At 38.6% G+C, this 25,097-nt stretch overlaps 1 protein-coding gene across 12 annotated transcripts in view, besides 1 other annotated feature; it reads right to left on the reverse strand.

The window, feature by feature from the left end:
* DOCK4 (dedicator of cytokinesis 4) overlaps nucleotides 1-25,097 on the reverse strand; it is a 480,290-nt gene that overhangs the window by 415,648 nt on the left and 39,545 nt on the right. The gene's annotated exons all lie outside the window — the stretch shown is intronic.
* Nucleotides 20,208-20,748: an enhancer, noted in NCBI's record as "NANOG hESC enhancer chr7:111802020-111802560 (GRCh37/hg19 assembly coordinates)". NCBI's record gives its function as "activates a minimal SCP1, AML or CMV promoter by ChIP-STARR-seq in naive and primed H9 embryonic stem cells {active_cell/tissue: H9 hESC(naive and primed)}" and the evidence as "EXISTENCE:reporter gene assay evidence [ECO:0000049][PMID:30033119]".

A 25,097-nucleotide genomic window follows, 5' to 3' on the forward strand; every position in this document is an offset into this window, starting at 1 on the left:
GTCTGTTGGACAATAAATGACAATGAACAGCCTGCCTCAGGGTCCAGAGGACATGAGAGTGTTTTGGAAACTACACTGAACTGGGGACACTTCCACTTACAGGGGACAGCAGAGTTGCCAGATTGCAATTGGGGCCAGTGCTACTAAATGCTCCATTTGTTCAAGAGAGGCCAGAAATCCACAGTTTTAAAATGTAACATCCCCCCACTCATTGCAATTCTTAACTACTTGCAACTAATTCAAATTTAAGGCACCTAGTAATTTAACTCTATGAAGAGCAAATACACTGAGTCTAGGAGCCAGATGGGAGAGGGAGAAACAGGTTCTATGTGTTCTACATGCATTAACTCATGTGGTCCTCACAATGTCCCTGTGAGGTAGGTACTATTATTAAGCCCCTTTTGCAGATGAAGAAACTGTGGCATAGAGAGAAAAAATAACTCAGGCAAGGTCACATAGCTAGAAAGTGGGGCTGGTGGGATGTCAAACCTGGCAGAGTATAGGGCCACAGACAACATTGCACACCTTTTCTAGGATCATTATTGAAGAGTTTTAGCTCTGAATTTTCACTATTGTATGTTAGGCTTGTAAGGCAGTCATGGAAATTTTACAGGTAGAGAAAATGTGACCCAGGAAACTCAAGACATGTTGACTGTCTAACCCATGCAGAAGAGCCAAGAATTCAACTGAAGCCTTACTCCTTTGCCTTTCAACTCAGCAGGTACAACACTGTCTCAGGAAAGCTCATCACTAATGCATTTCTAATGAATGGCCTTGCTGGGCTTTTGTATTAGTATTATTTACTATTTTTTAAATTAAACATTTTAGTCCTTGAATAGGTTTAGAAAATAATATAATGATCCCCAGAGTGCCTACCACTCATTTTTTAAAATTAAATGTTACAATAGAAAGCTCACATGTATTCTTTACCACTACAGAACTAAACAGGATCCTGAATTTTGTGTATATCATTCACATACATGTGCAAGTTTTTACACTGCTACTTCACATGCATACATAGTATCTAGTATTGCTTTGCATGCTTTTAAACCTGAAGTAGGTGGAAACATAAGGCATATACCCTTCTGCAACTTGCTTGTTTCCTTTAATGCATTTGACATTTATTTTTACTATTGCATAGCACAGGATATTTATCTATTTGTTTTTACTAGACATTAGGTTGTACCTGGAAACAAAGAACTTTGTACATGTGTCTTTTTATGAATAAGTGTGAGGCTTTCTCTAAGGGTGGATAAGTGGGGGTGACTAAAATAATTTTATTATAATTATGTAAAATGCTTACACTGGGGGAAGTGGGTGAGTTAGGTAAGGGACTCTTTCTATGATTTTTGCAACTTTTCTGTAATTCTAAAATTAGTTCAAAACCAAAAGGTTAAAAAAAAAAGGAAAAGAACATCTCCTCTGGGCCACTCCAAGCAATTCACCATAGGATCACAATGCCTTGGGCTGAATCCTAGACACAGACGAGACCTCCACAGCAGTGGAAACAGGAAAAGGCTAGCTCCAGGGCCCTCCATCCCAGAAATGCCACAAAACTGCCATATGAAACTGGTTGTTTAAAATGCCTCAAATAGCTGAGCTTATATACGGTCAAGTATGATTAACTAAAACCAAAGCAATTCTTTGAATATTTATAAACCAAGACAAGCAGACGTCATTTAAATTGAAAAGGCAACAAAGCTCCATTAGTGAAAAAGTCTCTCAAGCTACAACTCTCTATCAAATACATGAAATGACTTGTCTTTTACCTAGGTTTAAATTGTATCTGATATATTTGTTTAATTCTATGCATTTGGGGGCACATCTAAAAGTTCGCGGCTCTCCAACTATAAGGAATGGGAGGGCCTCTTGGAATTCAAGCATCTATTCTTTGTCTTCCTGTTCTTTCCAACCAGTCAGATGCCCTGTGCCAGGAGAAAAATGTGTTTATATAAAGTCTCCTGAGAGTGGGACTAAGAAGAGCTACATGGGCCAAACCCAACCCCAGCCATCTCCTCTAGGAAGCCTGCCAGGGCTAACCTCATCTGAACCACATCATTCATCTCCTCCTCTTTCCCTTTAGACTTACACATTCCCTTTGGTCTCAATCACAGCACTTGCAGATGTTTTGATTCGGATCATCTGTAAGTTCTTGTTACATTTTCTCTTCCTACACGGATTGTAAACTTTTCAAGGCATTATGTCAATCCATCAACAAGTGTGACTGCCAGAATATAGCAGAAAGAAGCTGAAGTGGAAAGAGTATGGGGCTTGGTAATATCTCTGCAATCACAATTTAGGGATGCTACAATCTTTTGGGGGACTCAGTTTCCTTGGCATTCTTCAGTTTCTAAGATACTTTCCTCCCATTAAATTCTACTGGAAGAATCCCTTCATTTCACCTTCCTCTAGTGACAGTATTACATACAAGACACATGGACACAAGAGACATAATCCTTGCCAGTAAGAACCATCTCAGTATTTTATTTTCTTTTTTTGGCACCTCTCACAATATAAGTAGTCCACTATGAACTAAGCACTATTCAGTAAATGTTGGTTAAAGTAGCAAAGTGATAAGCCAGTGGCTGGGGAATAAACAGACTCAGCAGCTTCTTTATCTGAAGTGTGTGTTCTCTATCTAGCCTTCTCCATCATGGCCCATACTCGGGAACAGTTTGACATTTTAGCACCATATGGCTGAGTGAGGATCCAAAGGCCACACAAAAAATTGCCAGCCCACTTGGCATTTCCTACATTTGCCCAGGCAGATGGCACTAGGCATCCAGCTCACAGCTGCAACCTAGGTCAGATCTAGGAGGACCAGGGTATCTCCAGGATGCCAGGTCATCAAGGACCCAGGGCAGTGGCAACAGAGCTTTGCAGGTCAGCACCTCAATGCCAAAGCTAATAATCTAACACTCATTTACCCAGATTTCTGGCACAGCTGAGAAAATATCCTAGTAGTTTTTGCAAACATCTTTCTATCAGAGGTATCCTGTAACTACACTCTGCACACCAAAATACCACATCTCTAAAGCACACTGTGGTATGCACACTCTCCTTGGGATGCTTGGGAACATCAGTCCTACCAGGACTACTGACGCAAAGCGAGCAGAGAGGTGTGATAAGAGGAATCTCATCCCAGAATATGCCTGGATTTCATCATTAGGAATTTTTGTTCCACTGGGTTATGAAACACTCTTGCTTGTTAGAATTTTTTAAAGTACTACACTTAAGCTATAAATGCAGAAATTTTCCGGTGCTTCTGTAAGAGCACTCCCTATATGATGAAACGATATCTATTAATATGTTGTAAAAAGGAGGAAAGTTGCAGGTGGTTCCAAGGCAGGGACCGGACACCTTAGGGAGGTATAAAGGCAGCAGGTGCTAGAGAGGTTAGCAAGCATCAGGCAAGCACCACAGAAAGAAAAAGCAAATGTGAATCAAAGACAATTTGCCTCAAGAACTGGAATGAGGATATTTTATAGGCATAAGTGTTCAGACTTAGGCTGAGATCCATGAACCACATCCCTAAGCAAAGCTTTGTTGTAACTTGCCACGTCTCAGTTCTCCAGACCCTAAAATCTCTCTTAAACAACATAGGAACATACACATACTAATAAACTCCCATATGCTAGGCCTAAGATTGGTTTGGCTCACATAAAACTGAGGCACATGCAGGCATATGTTGTTTGGGAAAAGGGCCGCGGGGCTCGCAGTAATGCAATATTATATATTCAGAGATACAACAGAATTCTTCCCAGTTTACAGTGCTAAAGCTGGCTATTCAGAGGATGAGAAATTCCAAACGGACATACCATTTCTTGTGTAATAACAGTTAATCTGTATACAAACCTAACAGGATCATTAAGCAGGATTTTTATATTTCCTTTAACGCACACCAAATTTCAACCTCCCTCTAGTAAGCCTTGCATTCCACTAGACATACATGCACATGAGGGATGATTCTGGAAACATGATTTGCATGGAAATCTTTTGTCATCTGACTTCACCTCTAAAGTCCAAGTCACAGCATCCAAGTCACAGAACTTAGTTACTTGGAAGAAAAAAAAAAATGGGGCACTGGGTGGGTCAAGGAGGGTGTGAGAGCAAGTATGTAAAAATATATTTATAACAATCTATTATTCAATATCATCTAACTTCGCTTAAACTGCGTACTATATTAGAATGTGCTTATATGTTTGTTTGTGATATAGAAAATGAGAGAAATACACTGGAAGAGATAATATTCTAACAGGATAAAATACCTCCCAAAGCCAGAAGTCCACATAACGAAGCCAAGGATCCAACATCTAAAATCACAACATGGCAGTATTCATCAAACACTTAGCACAAAGATTGGTTTTTGTAGCAAGAACCTGAGGTGACTTTACAGAGGAACTCACCTTTGAAAAGTGGCTGGGTCTTAAATGCTTTGCCAGAAAGACTTCATCGAATCAGCCTTTTTCTAAGGTTGGCATGGGAGGAGTTTCAAAGTCTCCAAGCAAAAGCTACAGAAGTCCCCACAGCATGGTCATCCTAGAAGAGGCTTTCCAAGGCTTTCTTTAACAAGTTGGCAAAACTTGATCCCCTCCTTCCTGGTCACTGTGATTTCAGAAGTGTTAAATAAAATAGAGGAATTTCAAAGCCCCAAAAGCTGCTTTGTTGCCAGTATAACTGAAAGAACTTTGAAGCCAGGTGCAGTGGCTCATGCCTGTAATCCCAGCATTTTGGGAGGCTGAGGCAGGCAGATCCTTTGAGGTCAGGAGTTTGAGACCAGCCTAGGCAATGTGGCGAAACCTCATCTCTACAAAAACTATAAAAATTAGCTGGGTGTGGTGGCGTGCACCTATAGTCCCAGCTACTCAGGAGGCTGAGGCAGGAGGATCACCTGAGTCTGGGGAGGTTAAGGATGCAGTGAGCCCTGATGGCACCACTGCACTTTTGCCTGGGCAACAGTGTAAGACCTTGTCTCAAAAAAGTACTTTGGCAGAGGAAGAACATTTTACAGAGATCTAGGAGGCTTCGATATCTCTTCATCCCATCTAATTTCTTCATTAAGTTTGAAATTAAGAATTTGTAATAATTTAGACGAGTGTAACAGTATCCAAAATTTGATTATATTTTCTCTAAAGAAAGGATATGCTAGGGAAACCAGTAATGCAAATAAAAATGTTTTAAATATTTAAGAGAAGACACTTTCTTAAAAGCCCCAAAGCACCTTATAAATACATCTACCTACAAATGATATATAACTATCATGTATTTATTTTTTAAAGCAGGACTCCTAGTAATATATACTAGGGAACACTTTGTTATATTAATCCAGATATTAAAATTATTTGATGGTAATACAGTTCTTATATAATAATGTTTATAGATATTGTATTGTACCTAATTTAGATTACCTTCAATCTGAATTCAGCATTGTCATTAGAAATATACACAGGTGAACAGTAAATTATTGGGTTTTTAGAGACTACAACCCACGTAAGTCTAATTAGTCACTAAAACTATCTTTTCTAAATGGCAAGTAAAATATGTTTTGGGCGTTTTCAAGGAGATCCAAACCTAGGTTCTACTAGTACCAGAATAGACAATTTTTTAGTCTCTTAGAACCACATTTTAAGCACAGACATTTATATCAGTGCATGTCTACCACCTTTAGCTCTGTCCTGGATCCACCTGACCTGTAACATTTCCCTTTGGGCTTAACAGAGTCAACATTCTTACAGTTAACAGATATTTTGCCTAAAAATATTTTATTTTGAAATTGTTTTCAGCCTTTGCCCAATACCTCAAAATACCCTCAAAGGTATTTCCTATAATTGAAAAGTTTGCCCACTTTCCTGTGTTCAGTATAAAATCTAGAAATCCTGCATCAGAAGACCTGGCCACAACCATCACAAAAATAAGGCGGTTATCTGAGAGGTAAGCTCTGAGTCACAAAACCTCCGTACTGAATTCAAGTAATTGAAGACACGAGTGAAGAATCCATCCTTAACTACACAGGAACAATTCCCAGGAGCAAACGTAGATTTTTTTTTTTTTTTTTTTTTTTTTTTTTTGATAAAGAGAAGCCACCACCAGGAGGAGGCTTGAAAGCTTGAATTTAATTACTTCTCCATCTCCTCATTATTCCACCCAACTCCCTACTTCCCCATCTCATTTCACAGCCTCCACCAGCTCTCCCCTCAGGCCTCCTATCACCCCTCTGCTCAAGCACACATGCTCTCTCCCTCTCCTCCACACTCCCACTGCTTGATGTTCTCTGCTTTCTGTGTCTTGCTTTCACAGCATCCAGCTTTCTAGTAAATTGTCGCTGAATCAACATCTTCCATTGGAAGTCTGTGTAGACGGCATTGTCCTGGAAAGACAGAAAAGCTAAAGAAAGCCTCCTCCTTTAAGACATATAAAGCACTGACAAAAATGGCCACAGAATCTTCATTGCTGGAGTCAAGATTATAATAGGGATTCCAGTGATTGATGCTGGGCCTTTCAAAGCCACATCTCAGCTCTCCAGAGTGCTGGCAGAGGGACAGGGGGAGATGTCAGAAGAATGGCTTAGAGCCAGGACTAACATAGAACCAACCCCCTTTGGAAAGCTGGTGAAGCTTATGGACTCCTGGTCAGAATAATGTTTTTAAAGGCATAAAAATCATGTAATTACAATGAAAAACAATTAAAGTGAAATACAATTATCTAACCCTTAAAAAGCAAAGTTCTGATAGAGTCGTTTTGTGCTTCTCCATTAATAACACTGAATAATAGGACTACTAGCATAAAATCTAGGGGCCAGTAGCATGTTTCACAAGTACAATTTCACATTTCAAATACAACCATTATTTGCTGTCTATATTCATAATTGAAGGAAATGCTAAATTTCAGCTAGGGCACAGTGAAAATAAAGGGTTTTGTTTTGTTTTGTTTTGTTTTTCCTCCCATCCAAATTCAGAGACCCTAGAATTCTAGCGATGGGCTTTTTGGTTAAGAGCCCCTGCCACAGAGTAATGCTTCCCAGATCCTAAAATGATTCAGGTTTCTGAAAGGAATTACCCCGAAGTTCACTGTCAATTCAAATTGAATGTCAAATCCAATTCAGTGAGAAGGGAACACACAAACCACTGGACAAAAGAGGTAACATGAACCCCAACGTTTTGTGGCTACGATAATGCGCCAATAGCCCTGAAATCTGATTTTCTGGAACTCAGGTGAAGTCTCTGGCCACTGAGCACGCTGCTCCCTCCTGCAAGCTCTACTGCTTCATCTTGCTCTGTTCCTAATTATTTGAACTTTTAAAAAATACCATTTTAAGAAGTGCTTTGTTAACACATCTCTTTTTGGCAGGTACATCATAGAAACTCTCCATGGAAATTTTTCAAGAGAGACTTATGATTCATTAATGCCTATGGCATAAAAGATGGTGCAACTGCGCGGCCCTTCCCAGGCTCTGGAAGAGGATGGCGCTGCCATCCCTTCGTCATTATGGTTTCTCAGCTTCCCACTTGAATATACCACTATTTCTATGCTCAAGCAAACAGCCCATAGGCTGACATAAGCCAGCTCTAAGGAAGAAAAAAATGCAGGACAATCATGTTTTCAGCAACTGGGCCTTTCAGAGTACAGATTCTGAGCACACGTGATAATTTTTCTGTTACCACGCCAACATGGGTCTGATAACCCCTCTGTGTATGAGAATACAAGGTCTTCATAAAATCGCTGTAGGAAAGAAAGAAATGACTTATAAAGAGGTTTAAAAAAAAAAGGAGGAGCAGACAACATTATAAAAAACATACAACATATCCTTATTTTACAGAAAATAAAAGAAGACTATCAAAGAAGAGAAGATCAACCATCCCATCATGGACAAGAGAATGCAATTCACATAAGCTATAAAAGGAATAATAAAAGAAAATTCATCTGTCACCAGGAGATATGATTTCTAGTGTCTCTTCTATGAATTCAGTACATCTGGAAAACGGATGAAAAATATTGGCAGAGGAAGCAGCAATGAGCTTCCAGGCCAAAGCACCTGATATGCTTGTCCTATCAACAGGCTTCTGAAGAAGCCCTCAGTCTCTGAAATATGCCCCAAAGGCAGCCCCTAGAAAAGGCTTATGGGCCAGGTTCAATTGCCACATGCTTAAAGGATGGAAAGGATGTGGGAAAGGCAACAGCTGCTGACATTTACTGAACATTTACTGTGGGCCAGGCAAGGTACCAGCTGCTTCCAACACACTGTCTTATCGAATCCTTCCAAAAGCACTTTGTGGAAAGTCTTATTATTGTCCACCATTTTAGAAAAGAAAATATAGGCTTAGAGAAGTAATGTTCCTAAAATAACAAGACTAGTAAGAGCCTAGGATATAATCTGAACTTAGGTCTGACTCCAAGCTCATGCTTTGAAATGCTTTTTTGCCTGAGAAATTTCTCCTTCTAAGACCCCAACTCTACCTTTCTAATCAAAAATCCCCCCAAAATGTCTAACGCAACTGCACTGGTAAATGTATACTGTCTTATCATGGTTGGCAGAAATATCAAGGTACAAATTAGCCAATGACTAGGTAATTTATGGGTACAGCCTCAAGTTAATCAATGAAACATCCGTCAAGAATGAGCACTTGTCTGCCAACATGCCGCTCCAAGCTCTTTGAATCTGCTCATTCTGTCTATGCCCCTCATACTTGGAGATAACCTCGTCCTGTCTTGCTTTACCCCCACACGTAGTCCTGTGTCAAGTTATTTCCTTCAAACACTGAGACAAAGCCCACCTATTCAAAAGCAAGTCAATCCTGGTCTGCTTTGTAAACCTCTTGAGGTTTGGACTGTTCAGCATCCTAATACCATTCACAGATCTTCCCCGAGGTGGCTTCAACATCTGCTCAGCTCATCCATTGCCATCCTTTTCTTCCAGTTTTGAATAAAGCTCCAAGCCCTCCACTCCAGCAGTCCTCACAGCTAAGCACCAAGGTGACTTAATAAACACCATCCTCAACCTCCCCAAAACTTAAAAAGTCCCAATGTTAGACCATGGTCCCTTCTTAGGACTTCTATATATTCAGACACCATTTCCTACCCACATTCTTGGGAACATCAGCAACAGCAACATAATCCCCATAGCTTAATTACAAGATACTACTTGGCCCCAGCCAGACTGGGGATGCTAAAAGGCTTGCAGAGGTTTGTTTGTTTAAGCCACAAGGATCTCTTAAGGATGAGTTTTCTGGTTATTAAGTGGAAGGTGAGCAGCGTTTCCTTATCTCCACTAAGCACAACACACATAAAATAAGTGACTTTCCATGATAGGAGGAGTAACTTAATTCTGTATACTTTTATCATACCCTGGAGCCAGTTCCTAGGAGATATGATGTAATACACAGCTCTGAAGCAGTTTTACAAGGAGAAGGATTTGTACCTACAGCTAGGGCAATTTAGTGGTTAACGCCTGGGGCTTTGGCATCAGAACGGGAGCTGGTGGCCCACCTTCAGTAGCTACATTAGCCTCTTGTGGCTTCAGTTTCCTCATGTGTAGAATGGCAACAGTAACAACATCTACCTCATAGGTCTGTAGGATGCCAATAAAATCATGCATGTTAGGTACTCAATACAGCACCTAACAAAAAAATACTCCAAATATGGTAGATAGTAGCAGTAGTAAAAAGGAGAGTGAGTCAGTGGCATACCCACGGCACCACAGTTGTCACACAGCTAGGGTAAGAAAAAATCCATTTAATTTTTAGTTCACTGTGAAGGCAGGCACTGTGGAAATTCAGAGGGACACCACTGGATCTAGAGCTCGTCACCAGTAAGCATCTCTGAGTCATACACAGTAGTAGCACATCTTTCCCCCATTGCATTTTGATACTGAGGTTAAATCTGGCAAACATGAAGTTCTGCTATTGTGGGTCTCTGAATGCTTTTCTTTCAGAGAGCTCTGTTTTTGTTTTATTTAAATGAATGTCTCTTTTCAATAATGAGGAAAGTTCAGCAAGAAGTAGAGATGTGGAAAAAAAAAAAAAGGTACACATTAACATGAAGATTAATATGACCCAACCACCTACAGAAATCTGATGACCAAAAAACAAAAAACAAAAAACAAAAAACCTGTGCCTGGCTTTAGATTCAGAAGAGGGAAAGGAAGAGCAGCCACACAAAAGCAGAATGTGGAACCATGTATTTTTAACTAGAGCACCAAACTGTTATTAAAAAAAAAAAAAAAAACTAATTCTAGCTAATTGAAGCTAATATGCAATAACTTGATGCTTAGTTGCATTTGAGACAGAGGAAAAAACCAAAAATTCATTAAAAGACATACAAATGAATAATGAATGCTGTTTTCTCAAATGCTCTATTCATAAAAGAATATTTATATAAAGGCACATGCTCAACTTTAATTTTAGAGAAGCTAAAGAAAAAATAATTCTTCCATTTACTATGTAACGAGCTCAGAAAATGGACAATAAGACCATTCCATGACAGAGAGTATTAGCATTCAACTCATCTATAAATATAAGCAACAAACAGTTTCAGCACAGCTGGCTGCTAAGGACTTCAATATTAACAAACAGACTTAATATTCTTGATTTACTACAGATTTTCCATCAAATGAAATAGTCATGGTGATGATAATTGGATCCACATGCCACACAGCATGCCTCCTAAAGATACAGCTCTGTGGTGTGATGGGGTACAAGTCACAGAGTCCAACAGGCAGGCAATGTGCACAGCAATTCTTAGCTTGCAGCACTGAGAAGGTTTCTATTTCCTTGATTCAACTGAAAATGAACAAAAAGGGTATATGCAGTAAAAATGTCCCTGCCATCGATTTTAAATCCCAAAAACAAACTCATCCACCATTCAAAACATACTAAAGTCTTGATTTCTTGATAGTTCTTGTTTGTTTGTTTTTGTAGCGACGGGGGTCTTGCTATGTTGCTGAGGCTGGTCTCAACTCCTGGTCTCAAGTAATCCTCCTGCCTCAGCCTCCCAAAGCACTGGGATTATAGGCTTGAGCCACTGCATCCAGCCTAAAGTCTTGATTATTAAGAGTACCTTTATAATTTACACACACTAAGCCAACAAACGTACCTTAAGTAGTAAAATGTGAAAAAAAACCGAACATTTCTTCAAACTAAGAGCCTGTAAGAGTAAATGTATAATCTATCATGTAATAAAAATTTAAACATATTTTTGTGTTTAACCATTTCAAACACATGTAACAAATAGGATCAGTGGTCACACAGAATGCCAATGTCACTTTCAAAAGTAAATTAAAGCCTAAAAAGTTTGGAGTGGCAAATGAGTAATATTATATCATAGTCTTATATCTCAATATTATTTTACAATAAATTATATTTACCTTTGCAGAATGTAGCACAATAAATTCTTAGATTTATGCCTTTGTTACTACCATGATGTACTGACTTGCTGAGTTTTTAAGTAATTCTCTTTATGACAAAGAAAAACCAGTGTAAATTAATCAAAGAACACCATTGTAAATGGTAATTTAAAATGCACATTGAACATTTTAAAATAGCCATTTAAAAACTACATTTAAGTGGAAGGAAAATACTAAAATCACAGTGTTTTTAATAGTCAGCACAACTTTGACATATAAGTAGACAAAATTAAATTTAGTTCCATGTCCACCAGCTGCTACACTTTACATTTAAGGTTAATGTTCCTATGAAGGGAGGAGGCTCATACTCTGAGATGTAAGAATAACTTAAAATTGGACAAATATAATAATTATCTGAAATTATATTTTAAAAATGATAGGCAATTCCCAGCTTATCAATTTAAGTTTTCAGCTGTGTAAAATTTAGCTCTAAGTCAGTTGTCTGTTTCTCCATCATGTATATTTCTTCATGAGCTAAGCCATATTATGGGTTAATTTGGTGGACCACTCTGGGAACCAACCCATTATTTATAACATTATTCCAACTAGAAAATTAATTGCCAATTCCAATATAGAATGATGGATGTGTGTGAAGGACACATTGTCCCAGCAAAACAAAAGGATCACCCTCCAATTTCTACCAAGCCCAGTTATTGAATAAGCAAGCAATGTGTGCAAGGCATCATACCAGGTACTTCGGAGGATAGAAAGTAGCAATATTTCAGCAACATCAGCCTCTAAGTTAAAAGCTAGCAATAATAAAAAATGGACAACTGTGACAGAGTGGCAAACTTCTTGTAGAAACAATAATGTAGCAATTTTTGTTGTTGTTGTTAGACAGGGTCTCACTCTGTTACCCAGGCTGGGGTACAGTGGCTTGATGTGGGCTCACTGCAACCTTGACCTCCCAGACTCAAGCGATCCTCCCACTTTAGTCTCCCTAGTAGCTGGGACCACGAGCATTTGCCACCATGTCCAGCTCATTTTTTTATTTTTTGTAGAGACAAGGTCTCCCCATGTTGCCCAAGCTGGTCTCAAACTCCTGGGCTCAAGCAATCCTCCCACCTCGGCCTCCCAAAGTGCTGGGACTATAGGCATAAGCACCTGTACCCAGTTGGTTTTTTAAAATACTGTTTTTAGATGAAAAGAATAAGTAATCTTTAAACAACATACATGAAGAAAGCATAGGTCTGAGAATTACAATAACCACTGAACAAGAGACTGCTGCTTTCACAACTAAGAGCACAACTCCATGCTACTTAGACATTGTTTGACTCCTTTTTCTTTGCACTTGCTTTCTGAAATACAGATTAATGTGAAGTTCTACAGTGATGTTTTACATTTGTCACAAATGTCCTTCCACGCTTAACAAGTATTAGACAACTTCCTTCCCCCTTGTTGAATCAGGATGGCAGCTGATACATAGGGTACAGTCTACAATATATCAAGACAACTGTCCTCTGCTACAGATCTACTAAAACAGACACTGATATGTTTTCCTCCATGAGATAAAGACTCTCTCATCTCCCAGGAACACTGGCGTGGGGTTGACAAAGGGAAGACACTTCATGCAGCCCATGGCATCAAGACTTCTCCTACTCAAGGTATTTTTCATCATGTCAATCTCATTACTACTATCCCTCTAGAAAGAACAAGATCCTGCACTGCAACTTCAGCCAGGCTACGGGCATGCAATAGCGGGGAGCATTCTTCAGGAGCTCTGGCCTGACACAATACCTTGCTGTGCCTCAGATTTAAAACAGGTAGAGAAAAGAGAGGATCAAGGAAACAACACCATATTGACATATGCACAGCACACCACTCACTGGCAGTTTCCCAAACACTTCCATATTCATGATTTCATTGAGTCTCTATTGACTTTGACAAGAAAGGAAGATGTTGTTTTTCCAATTTATTGACGAAGAAACTGACAAGGAAATTGATAAAACTCAGAGAGGTTAAATGGCTTTTTAGAGATCAGCAGCATAGCGCTTTTTCTTTTATGTGACACTGTTTAACCGTCAAAATGACCTGTTTTCCCCAACTACTTTTAAAAGCCATAACCAAATATATACACAGTAGGTAAAAATTTGTTTCATGTATCCCCAAAAGAAGTCCTTAGTCTATTCCCTGTATCATTAAAGTTTCCTGAGGAGAATACTAAGGATTAATTTAATATGTTCAAAATGCATCAGAGTATAACCTGAATTTTGATTCCCACTAATTCCTCCCCATTTTGGTTTACCCTTCCCCAACTGAATTAAGAATGGGTGTTGAGGAAACATTAAGAAAATGTGAAAAAAGTAACTTGCACCTGGAAATACATAGTTCATAGCATTCATCATGTAAAGAAACAGAAATCACTACTTTTCTCAAGGCCTGTCATATTCAAAGAAATGTTTTTGGGTAATATTCCATATAAACTAGTATTATGGTTCTGCTGCAATCACCACCCAGTGGGTTATTCAAGTCCTCTTCCCCTCCTTCAGTTAGGAGTCCCAGACTGTGGACAGTGTGGACCCCAGAGTTCAAAAGATGTGAGTCAGAGTCCCAGGGAAGTATTTGAGTTTGTCAGTGGTTCTGCTAATGAAGGTAATGGACGGTAGTATTTAAGGACTTTTCCAGAGGCAGCCTATCATCATCCAAAAGAACTTTCTGTGATAATGGAGATGCTCTACATCTGCATGATCCTATGTGACAGCCACTGGCTACATGTGACAACTGAGCACTGAACAGTATATAGTGCAATGGAGAAACTATAAATTTTTAATTTTATTTACATTTAATTCGTTTAAATTTAAAAATAAAGAGCCATATGTGGACAGCAAAATTCTAGAATTACGACCTCACTCCACACAGGAATCATAGCCCAGTTTGTTTTCACAGGGCTCGCAGACCTCGAGACCCCTAGATGTAACAGAGCATGGGCTTTGGAGGCTGACACACTAGAGTCTCTTACCCAACCTACACAACCTTGAAATTGTACTTTACTGAGCCTCGGCTTCTTCATCTCTATAATGGGAATCTCAACACCAAACTCTCAGGATGGCCTCCCTCACACTGTGTCCAGCACACAGACACTGTAAAAATTAGTTCTCTCTTCAGTCCTCCTTCATCCTTCTCAGTCTAAAAGAACTACATATTTAGAACTTAGCGGCCAATTATGAGATATAATTTCATGAACAATCTATAAAAATGTTTGCATTTCTTAGAAGTAATGAAAAGAAAAATATCACATTGGGGTTACATTATAATTTGGTAAAAACTGTATGGAATTGAAGAATTATAAATTGTATTCATGTTTAAATATTTGGTTAATCAGTGAGCCAGAAAGCTAAAGTCTGCTGTTCTCTTATCTTACCAAGCATGACATTCTATAATAGAGACAAACCCACATAAAATTGTTTAAATGCTACTTTCTATGATGTAGTATTCACAAATAGCAGATTTGGAGACTCTCTACATTCCTGTGTAAGGAGGCGCTACCCAGCATTGTTCTAGTGCTCAATAAATATTTGATTAATGTCAAATAGATGAAGTTCAGAAGAAATTACTGACATACTTAATTATATACTTGGCTATAAAGACTATTAAAAAACCACACACACACAAATTATTCACTATATATTCAAGGTAGTTTTATTTACAAAGAAAGAAAATGGACAACCACCTTAACCTTTCATATTAGAATATATAAGTAAAGACAAATTAATTCAATAAAATATCATGTAGCTATTAAAATATGTATTGAGAATTTATGAGACAAGTTTATAGTATGAAAAGGAAATCAGATTGTAAAATTATATATAGCTTGATTTTAAAAGTTAACATACGTGAAAAAAAGTTTTTTTTAATGTTATCTTCATTAGCAGACAGGGAAACATGTAATTTTTCTCCTTCACACTTTTTCCTATCTTCCTAGATTTCTGTGAGTATGTATGACTTTTATATTGGGAGGTGAGACTCAAATTTTTTTTTAATTATTCACTATGGTTGAGCCCTAGTCATCTTTCTTTCCCGTCATTTGAGAGCAGCTCACAGTATTGTGGGAGGACAACAGCTCAAACCACAAAACCTCATATGTGTTTTGGCCTCCAACAGCCTGGCAACCAAGCAATGAGAGTAATTACAGAGTGCTTATCCAATACCCACCTTGTAGCGGCCATGGGAGACGTCATTTTCCCCTTCCTGCCCTGGACATGGTACACTGCCGGCCAGATTCTACACCAGCTGTTGGCTTACTCTCCAGAGGTATGAACATTTTAAGGGTTAAAAGAAAGCACCACTCTATAGCAACTACATACCTGTGTAATCCATTTGAAAGATCTTCATTTAGCATCAAGGATTTTTAAAATAGGAAATCTGTGGTCAAATAATTTTTATAATAATTATTTGGAGATAATGTAAGGAAAACTCTCACAGTTCAGGGATTAGAGCACCCTAACTCTGCCCTGGTATGCTGATGAGCCTGAATAGAAGTTTACCAGGCAAAGCAGAAACAGAGGGATATTTCAGACGGAGAGAGCTGTCAATGCACAGATTTGGGTGTCCTGGTATAATCAAGGAAGTGTGGCATGACTTCCGCTAAGGCTAAAGCACAGGGCATGTGCTGAAAAGCACAGGAGGAGTTCTTGGAAAAGCAGACAAGGGCCAGGCCATGAAAACACCTTGCAAGCCATCCTAAAGGATTTGGACTTGATCCCGTGTGACCAATGACAATGATTTTAAGCATTTAAATGATTAGCACATAAGGATGGTCTCTTTGGCTATAGTGGAGAGGATGAATCTAGTAAGGCCTATAAATTGTCCTCAAAATGTTTTTAAATGCATAAAATATATAGAAACTAAATATACACTGAAGTGCAGTATATAATACAATACTGACTATAATAATACTGAAATGCAGTTATCTCCATGGAAGCCCAGGTTAAAATTCTCTGGCTTTCAACCTTTAAACTTGTATCAGAATCACTTAGGAGAACCTGTAAGAACAGATGGCTGAGCTGCACCTCCACATTCTCAGATTGTGCTGATGCTTCTGGTCTTGGGAATAATACATTTAGGAACCATTTACTAGGGTGATGCCCAAGTTTCTAGCTAGAAACCTATATGGACTTGGTACTACTCATGGTCTTACTTATCTCTGTATCCCTAGCACCTATTGCTTATACATAGTATGAATTTCCAATAAATACTTTTTGAACAAATGAAGTAGGAATATAGACACAACAGTAAATTTAGCACTTAATCTGTGTGGAAAAGTTATACCTTTCTTTGGTTTTTGTTGTGCTTTTTAAAATAGTCCTTGGAATTCCAAAACACAATGAATTTTGATCAAATACAAGAACTGATAAGGTTCATAAAATAATCTTCAAGATACTAGTTATATACTTACAGTATTGCATTTACTTTTCTAAATAATACTTGGGCAATCAATGCTGTTAAAATGCTAAATCCTCTTTATTCATATATAAGAAGTCTCTCTTTTACTAAGGTTATCAGTGTCAAATACTGAAAATTTCAAAGAAACTATCACTTTTAATATACTTAGCAAATTTCAAAGGGTATTTCAATAAAAGTAGTTAGAGAAGCTTTGTAATAAATGGCTAAAAACTATTTTTAATGAGCTTCTCAATTGTTTGGTTATAAATGGATGTTTCTCAAGCTCCTGACAGCACTTAAAAATCATTTGTTTCCATAAGTATTTTAAATATTCCTTGCCCATTCTCTTTTACTACTAGCACAGTTTAAGGTTTACACGGCAGGTAAAGTTCAGCCCAGCTTCATCTAAGTTACTACAAGCCAACTAAATGAATCCCATTACTGAAGCCAGCAATATTTACCAAGTGGCCTGCTCTGTGTTGGTTGCTATGAAGGATGTAACAGAAGCCAAACAGTTGGTCACAATTTATACTTGTGAATGTAACCAAATGCCTTCAGTATCCTCCCTACCAGTACATCACTGCAAATACGCCCTCCTAGAAATATGTTATTGTCTCATAAAATGATGTTCTAGCATCTTTTCAAGTCTCTACCACTCTACAAAACCCTACCACCATCTCATTACTTGACTGGCGCTGCCTTTCTTCCCTTCCCAATCTTTCTCACATCTGCATCTCTTCTTCCTCCCGCCCTCAACATCCCTGTTCAGGCCCCTATCACGTAGTCTCTGCAGCAGTCCCTCAACCCTTCTCATCCTCATCGCTCCCTGGTGCGTGTCCACCACCTTTATCACCACCACTCCCATTCTCAAATGCATTCATAGCCCAACCTGGTCTGGCATAAGTCCTCCATTATTTGATTCCATCCTGAGTTTCTAACCTATGTTTTTCCTACTTCTCTAAACACACTCCTCAACTACAGACAAACGGCCCTACTTCCTCCTGTCAAAACACAGTTCGTACTTCCGTATTTCTTTTGCTCTAACAGTTGTCTCCCTGACAAGGATGTGTCACGTTCCGTCCAAGTCTTATCCATCTGTTGGGATCTAGCACTTATATGACCCTCCTACCCCAGACGCTTTCCCTATCCCAATAACAATTCTGTCTTCCCACATTTCCACAAAATAGTCACAATTTGGGGTAACTGCATATACCTTCCCTCTGTAGCCAGGATGTAAGCTTCTAAAACAAGCATTTTGTATTATACTTATGTATAATAATACATAATATTATGTATATATATACATAATATATATACATAATGTATATACATATACACATATATATATACACACATAATGTATATAATACATAATAATCCCAAATACCCGAATCCCAAATCCCAAAACCCAAAATCCAAAATGCTCCCAAATCCAAAATTTCTGGAGTACCAACATGACACTCCAATGAGCATTTCAGGCTTATAGATTTGGGATGCTCAACCAGTAAATATAATGCAAATATTTAAAAATCAAAACAAAAATGTGAAATATGAAACGCTTCTGGTCCCAAGCATTTCAGATAAAGACTACTCAACCTGTATTCTCCTCTGTCTATCTCAGTGCACTGCAGTCAGAGCAAGGGCTCCAAGTATATCCGACTCTGTGACTCAGCTCATCTGTAAACAGAGGCTCCTGCTTTACCTCTCTCAGAGGGCTTTTGTGAATATCAAATGAGATGATAAGATGTTTCTTTTGAAAACACTCTGCAAATTGAATTGGTGGGATAATTTAATTGAGAAGGCAAATGTACACTCACACAATGCCAGAGAACAGTATGATATCTAGATCTTAACAGTATTAAAATGCCACAGGAATCCAAAGACAGTACAAACCACATCAGGTTCCATGGGATTCTTGGGGCAAATTTTCCCTGAAGAGAATGATTTGATGCAAGCTCTGAGGGAGGAGCAACTAAGACAAAGGAAACCTATCAAGCTGGCCCAATCTCTGGAAAGTATCTTAATCTATTTAGTAAATCAGCAAGACTCTGAACATGGCAGTCAGAGGTTACACAGAAATCTGAACAGCCCTGGGTTATCTCCTTAAGCAGGCACCCCCACTGCCCCAGCCAGAGGTCAGTGGCCACTGCAGGAAAGAAAACAGAATGTTCCTTCAGCAGGGAACAACAATTAATTTGTCAAACTTTAGCTTTCTATACACTTATCTTTCGAAACAACTTACTTGTACTTGGCTATAGCCTCTATTAAAGATCCTATCGCGGCATTCATCAGTTTACATTTCATCAGTTTTTCCTGAGAATGAAGGCTGAGCAAATATTTTCACGGGCTAACATCGACTCTGAGCTCTATTAAGCAGGACTCGAGGCCCCCCATCAAGATCACCACTGTGGCCCTGTACCTCTTGTTCTCTGGTATAGACATTTAACTAATATTTGCAGGGGGACAGAAAGACTTAACAACTCAAGTGAGTCATAGGCTTTAATAATTAAGTTAGCCTTGAAAGCAGACATGTACTTTTGTAAGTGGCAAATTTCCTACTGATTCCTTTCCTGTTATGATGTCTACCTGGCGACCGCTAGTCAGTCTTCAAATAGACCCCATATACAAATATTTCTAGAACACTGAACATATTTGTTACTACCTATATAAGTCCAATATAAAAGAAAAGGTTGAGAAAAAAAAAGTCTGTGGACTTGTTTTAAAACTTGCTGCACTTGTTTTAAAAACTGAATAGGATGTATGCCCATTGCAAAATCCACGTAAGAAAATTTCATACACTGTACCAGGTAACCTGGATGCTAACAGCATGAAACAATCTGGCCAGACACATAGTAATGGGAAGGAAAGATACATAGATCTTTCATGTCTGGCATGGAAAACCTAATAGAAAGCTACACTTCCTATAAATTTTAATTAGACTAGAAAGGGTAACCAGAGAATTTTGCTTTGACCCTGGGATCTGTCTTTATCATTGTGTCAACCTGTGAAACACAAAAGCAGCATATTCATTCTGCATTCCAATGTCAAGCAGCAAATTTTTTAGGGTAGGAAAAAAAGGCAGTCTGTACTGACTAGAGAGGTTGGGCTGATTTATGTGATGTCAGAGATGCTTTACTTATGGAAGGAAGGTAGGTTAAGCTCTCCTGGGGATGACTTGAGCTCTGGTACAGTCTCTCTGGAACACTTAAATAATATCAATAGTTCACTTATGACATTTACACATCTTGGTTAATGTGGCATAACAAAACTGGAGAACCTTTATGCCAAGGTAATTTTTTTCCACAGTGACTGTAAGTAAAGGATAACAAAACGCCTGCATCCTGAGCATCCTAACTACAGAGAATTCTGAACTCACAGTTGCTACTCCCCATCCAGACTGGTTTCAACTTCCCAAGATCTTAAGATTTGGAGGATAGAAATGGGGGTGTACTGTTACTAATGTGTTTGTATAAAAGCTTGTGAAAAAGTTTCCCTTTGTATGACAGTATAAGTACAAACAATTGATTTAAAAAATGATAATGTAAATTTTTTATATGTGTCACAATTTTTATTTTGCGTATTCCCAAAGAAAGTAAGTAATTCCAAATAGCGTGAAGCCTCATTTATCTGGCATCAAGAGAGCAGAGCTCTGGAGGAGTGGTTTCCTGAATAACAAACACTCTGCCATTCATTTGCCTGGAGTGGAAGTGTTGTCTCTGCCTGCCAGCACTCCTCCCCTGCAGAGCCTCCCCTCCTCCACTCTGCAGGGCCTGGGCTGGGCTGTCACTCTTGGTACCCCAGCCCCCTTGCCTCAGAGGAAACACATGACTCAGACTGGACCAAGCTCTCATCATCCCCCTGGATACAGTGGTACAACCAGAAGTAGGAATGTGACCCAAGCAGGACCTGTGCCCTTTCACTTAGTTTTGTGTATAGATGTTGGGAGGAAGAGAGTGTCTGTCTGTCTCTTTCTTTCTCTCTCTCTCTCTCTCTCTCTCTCCCCCCTCTCCCTGCCACCCACACACCCCACTCCCCTCTCTCTTTTTCTATCCAAAATCCTAACCATGTAAACTTGGAGCAAAAGCAACGGAGTCCTAAGAAACTCCATATAACCTCTGCCCCTGGACTACTTTGAGGAGGGTTTTTATCACTTTCAACTAAAAGAATACTGGTTCACACAATGTACAAAGTTCATCTGGCTAAACTTTACCTGATGTTATAGGAAACCTCAAAATGAACAGCATGCTTCTCTACCTTGAAAAAAGAAGCCATAGTAAACACGATTTTATCTTTTTTATCTAGTCACTTACTTAAACCCTAACATATAATGTTCTCAAGCACTATTGAATTATCCAAGGACACTTGACTTTCCAGTAAATAGGCAGACACTTCTTTGTAACAGATTTCTTTGTTCATTATACTGTATGCAACGTAACACTGCCTGAGTGTGGGGAGCCAGACGTCAACTTATCCTCCTTTGTAGCTGCTACTGCCTCTACTGCCATATCCTACAACAACTTTTAGGTGGGTTTTTCCTAAACAATTAATCATTTACCAAAAAGGAATAAATTAAGACACGGCAAGCTAGTTATTAGGAATGACTAATCACATCATGTCCTTTGTCTCACAAGGAACAGAGCTTCACTCAAGTTATAAGACAAACAAATAAAAAGAATGGGTTTGGGGGAACCACTCTGACGTGGCCTAACCCCCATACCCCAGCATCCTGCCCTCCTCCCTCCCCTCCCCATTTTCTCCCTTCCTCTGTGCACAGCATGCTCCACTCTCATCAATGCCCTGGCCAACAAGGCATCTTTGTTGCCTGCATCCTTTAATGACTACCCTCTTCCCTGGGCTATAAATCTCCTTTCTCATAGCTAACTGACTTAATCTCCAACTTCTCAGGTATAACGTCCTAAAAGAGAAATTTGGCCTAGCTCTTTATGACCTAAGCCAAAATCATGCCAATGTCAGCCAATGAATGGTTGTCTTTCGGTTGTGTGCACATTCCTGGCACAAGTGGCATTTATTGACTTATTATTTATTTAATTATTTATTTAACATTTACATAGAGCATAGTATAGGCAAGGCAGATACTCTTCTCAGCGATTTACAAATATTGATTAATTTAATAGTCATAATAAATCAATGAAATAATTATTACCCCATTTTACAAATGAAGAAACTAAGGCTTAGAGAGGTTAAGTAAATTGCCCCAGACCCACAGCCAGTAAGTAGACTTGAACTGCCTGGTGACAGAAGTTATACTCTCAACCTTTATGCCATGGAAAAATTCATGATCAGTTAGAACTGCAAGGGGCTAAGCAAGCACACACATTGATATGTGTCTAGCACATATTCATCCATCCTTTCATCCAAGTGTTTTGAGCATTTATTATGTACCAAACACATTTTAGTCCCTGAGAAGACAGCAGTAAACAAAACACACACAGACCCTATCTTGGCCAGGCCCAGAGGCTCATGCGTATAATCCCCAACACTTTGGAAGGCTAAGGTGGAGAATTGCTTGAGGCCAGGAGTTCAAGACCAGCCTGGACAACATAGAGAAACACCATCACTACCAAAAAAATTTTTTTAATTAGCTGGGTGTGGTGGCGCATGCCTCTAGGAGGCTGAGGTGGGAGAATTGCTTGAGCCAGAAGTTTGAAGGTGTAGTGAGCTATGATCAAGCCACTGCACTCCAGCCTGGGTGACAGAGTGAGACCCTGTCTCTAAAAAAAGAAAAAAGACCCTGTCTTGAAGGCATTTGTATTCTAATCATATTAATATCACCCTGCACATCTTTACTGGTTATATAGCAAGCTTAGTGTTCTTTAAATATATACATATATAACTGTCTTAAAGTCTGCATATAACCATATTAATAAAGTACACATTTTATAAACATTTGAAAACTGAATTAATAATAATACTCATAGCTGTTATTCTCTAATCTATCTGGATTACTTACTCTGTGCCAGGAACTATACTAAGTATGTACTGCTTCATTTATATACTCTATACACACACACACGACTTTGTGTTCTATCTAAAATTCAACACATGGAAAAGTCTCTCATCTCTCCAATCTTAGAATTAGTCAGAGAGCCTGTTTTACACTCAATACTTACAATTATTTTTAAAAACCTTTCTGGGGCATTAAGTATGCCAGACATCATGCTAAATGCATTGCATGCCTTACTTGTTGAATCTTTGTGACCATCCTGAAGTGGGTACTGTTATTTCATCACACAGATGAGGAAGCTAAGGCTTAAATACCTAGTAAGTGGCAAAGCCAGAATATGCTCCATTTGAGCTCCACTACAGAGTACTGGGAAAATGTCTCTTACTGGTAATGGACATGTTATTACAACCTGGTGAAACATAGAACTATCCATTAAGGAGTAAAAATTTGTTATCTTTCTAAGAACTGGCATCAGCAGAAACTGCCTAGTTAATATTAATATTATGTAGAATATCAAGTTTGGGCTTCAATCTATGGCTAGAAGGAAAAAATTGCCCACTACATGTGTACAAAGTTAACTTCTTTAAAAATTATTTTTATGTGTACAAGTTTATGGGGTATATGAGAAATTTTGTTACATGTATATAACATGTAGTGATGAAGCCAGGGTATTTAGGGTGCCCGTCACCAGAGCACAGTACAGTTTTGTGAAGTACAGTCACCCTACTCTGCTATCAAACACTGAATTTATTTCTTCTATATTTGTGCATGTTTGTAACCTTTAACCTACTTCTCTGCATCCTCCCCTCTCCCTTCCACTCATCTTTCCCAATCTCTCCTATCTATCTATCTTTCCATGCTCTACGTCCATGTGATCAGATTTTTTAGCTCCCACATATGAGAACATGCGGAATCTGTCTTTCTGTGCCTGGCTTATTTCACTTAAGATAATGACCTCCAGCTCCATTCATGTTACTGCAAATGATATGATTTCATTGTTGTTCATGGTGGAATAGTATACGTGTGTGTGTGTGTGTGTGTGTGTGTGTGTGTGTGTGCGTGTGTGTGTGTATCCCATTTCTTTGGACACTTAGGGTCAATCCATGTTTTACATATTTATTTCCCTGGGTTACACATTCCAAGATGATAACTATTACTCCCTTCTTTTATCTTGATATTTAAATATCAAGTACATTTCTTACAGTAATGTAAGGGGAAAAAAATCAAGAAGTACTTAACTTTTGCTGAGAAACTGAATAAAACATAAATTCTGTTAGAGTAGATCAAGGTAAATGAGAACACCTAGGAATCATTCAGTAACACAAAGTTGATCAAAGAACCCTACTGCTTAAACATCCTCGTCACGTTTCCCATCCTATGCCAAGCCTTGAGACCCCTTTGACATCCCTCGCCCCCTCCAAATAACTGCCACTTTCTGTATCTCTAGCACTATCACTATCCTACAAGCACCACTGCTGTTACTGAGGAGTAACTAACTGAACAGGCCATCATCCCCAACCATTTCTGTCACATCTTTTCTCATCTTCTTAGAGGAAAATCCCTGCTAACTGCTGCTGCTTCTTTTTAATGCCATATCTATAAGAGGCAAAGAAAGTGAGGAGCTTTTAAACATCAATGTCCACTATACAATCTGAACTAGGTTTCTTGGGAAACTAAAAGGCATATTTTAAGTATGAAATAACCTAGAACTATGCCATTAAAGAATAAAGAAAAAACTGCCAAGAGTGTTTTGTACTTTTTTTACCAAAAGAAAAAACATGCTCTTGGGGTATGACTGACAAAAAAAAGCTGTACATCTTTAATGTATAGAACTTGGTAAGTTTGGAGGTAAGTATACACACATGAAACCCTCACTACAATCTATGCCACGAGCATATCCACCGCCTCCAAAAGATTCCTCCTGTCCACTATTATTCTCATTACTATTTTGTGTGTATGTGCGTACGTTATTCTAAGTAATCACTTTGGAAGACTTACACATTTACTTTGCCCATATCATGTCACAGGAGGTACCTTCAGAGCCTACAGTGAATCTAATCTAATCTATGAAATCTAATCATTTCATAGAGGATTTATTTTAAATTTAAACCTCAATTCTCTCAAGGGAATTGGATGTAACAACCCAGCTAGAACTATTAGTATTTTTTTAAAAAGGGCCTGACCTCGTTGGGCTGTAAGAAATTCCTAACATGTTTTTACTTGATAATGGTGGCATCACTGAAAAACTGTTAAATGTTTAATGTCACTTCTCTTAGGTGATAATAGTTGCATGGAATAATAAATTCTGATAACTATATCTGTTTTAAATTCTTCTTTTTTTTTTTAAGAGAC

Source organism: Homo sapiens, chromosome 7 (assembly GCF_000001405.40).
Source record: "Homo sapiens chromosome 7, GRCh38.p14 Primary Assembly".
Lineage (NCBI taxonomy): Eukaryota > Metazoa > Chordata > Mammalia > Primates > Hominidae > Homo > Homo sapiens.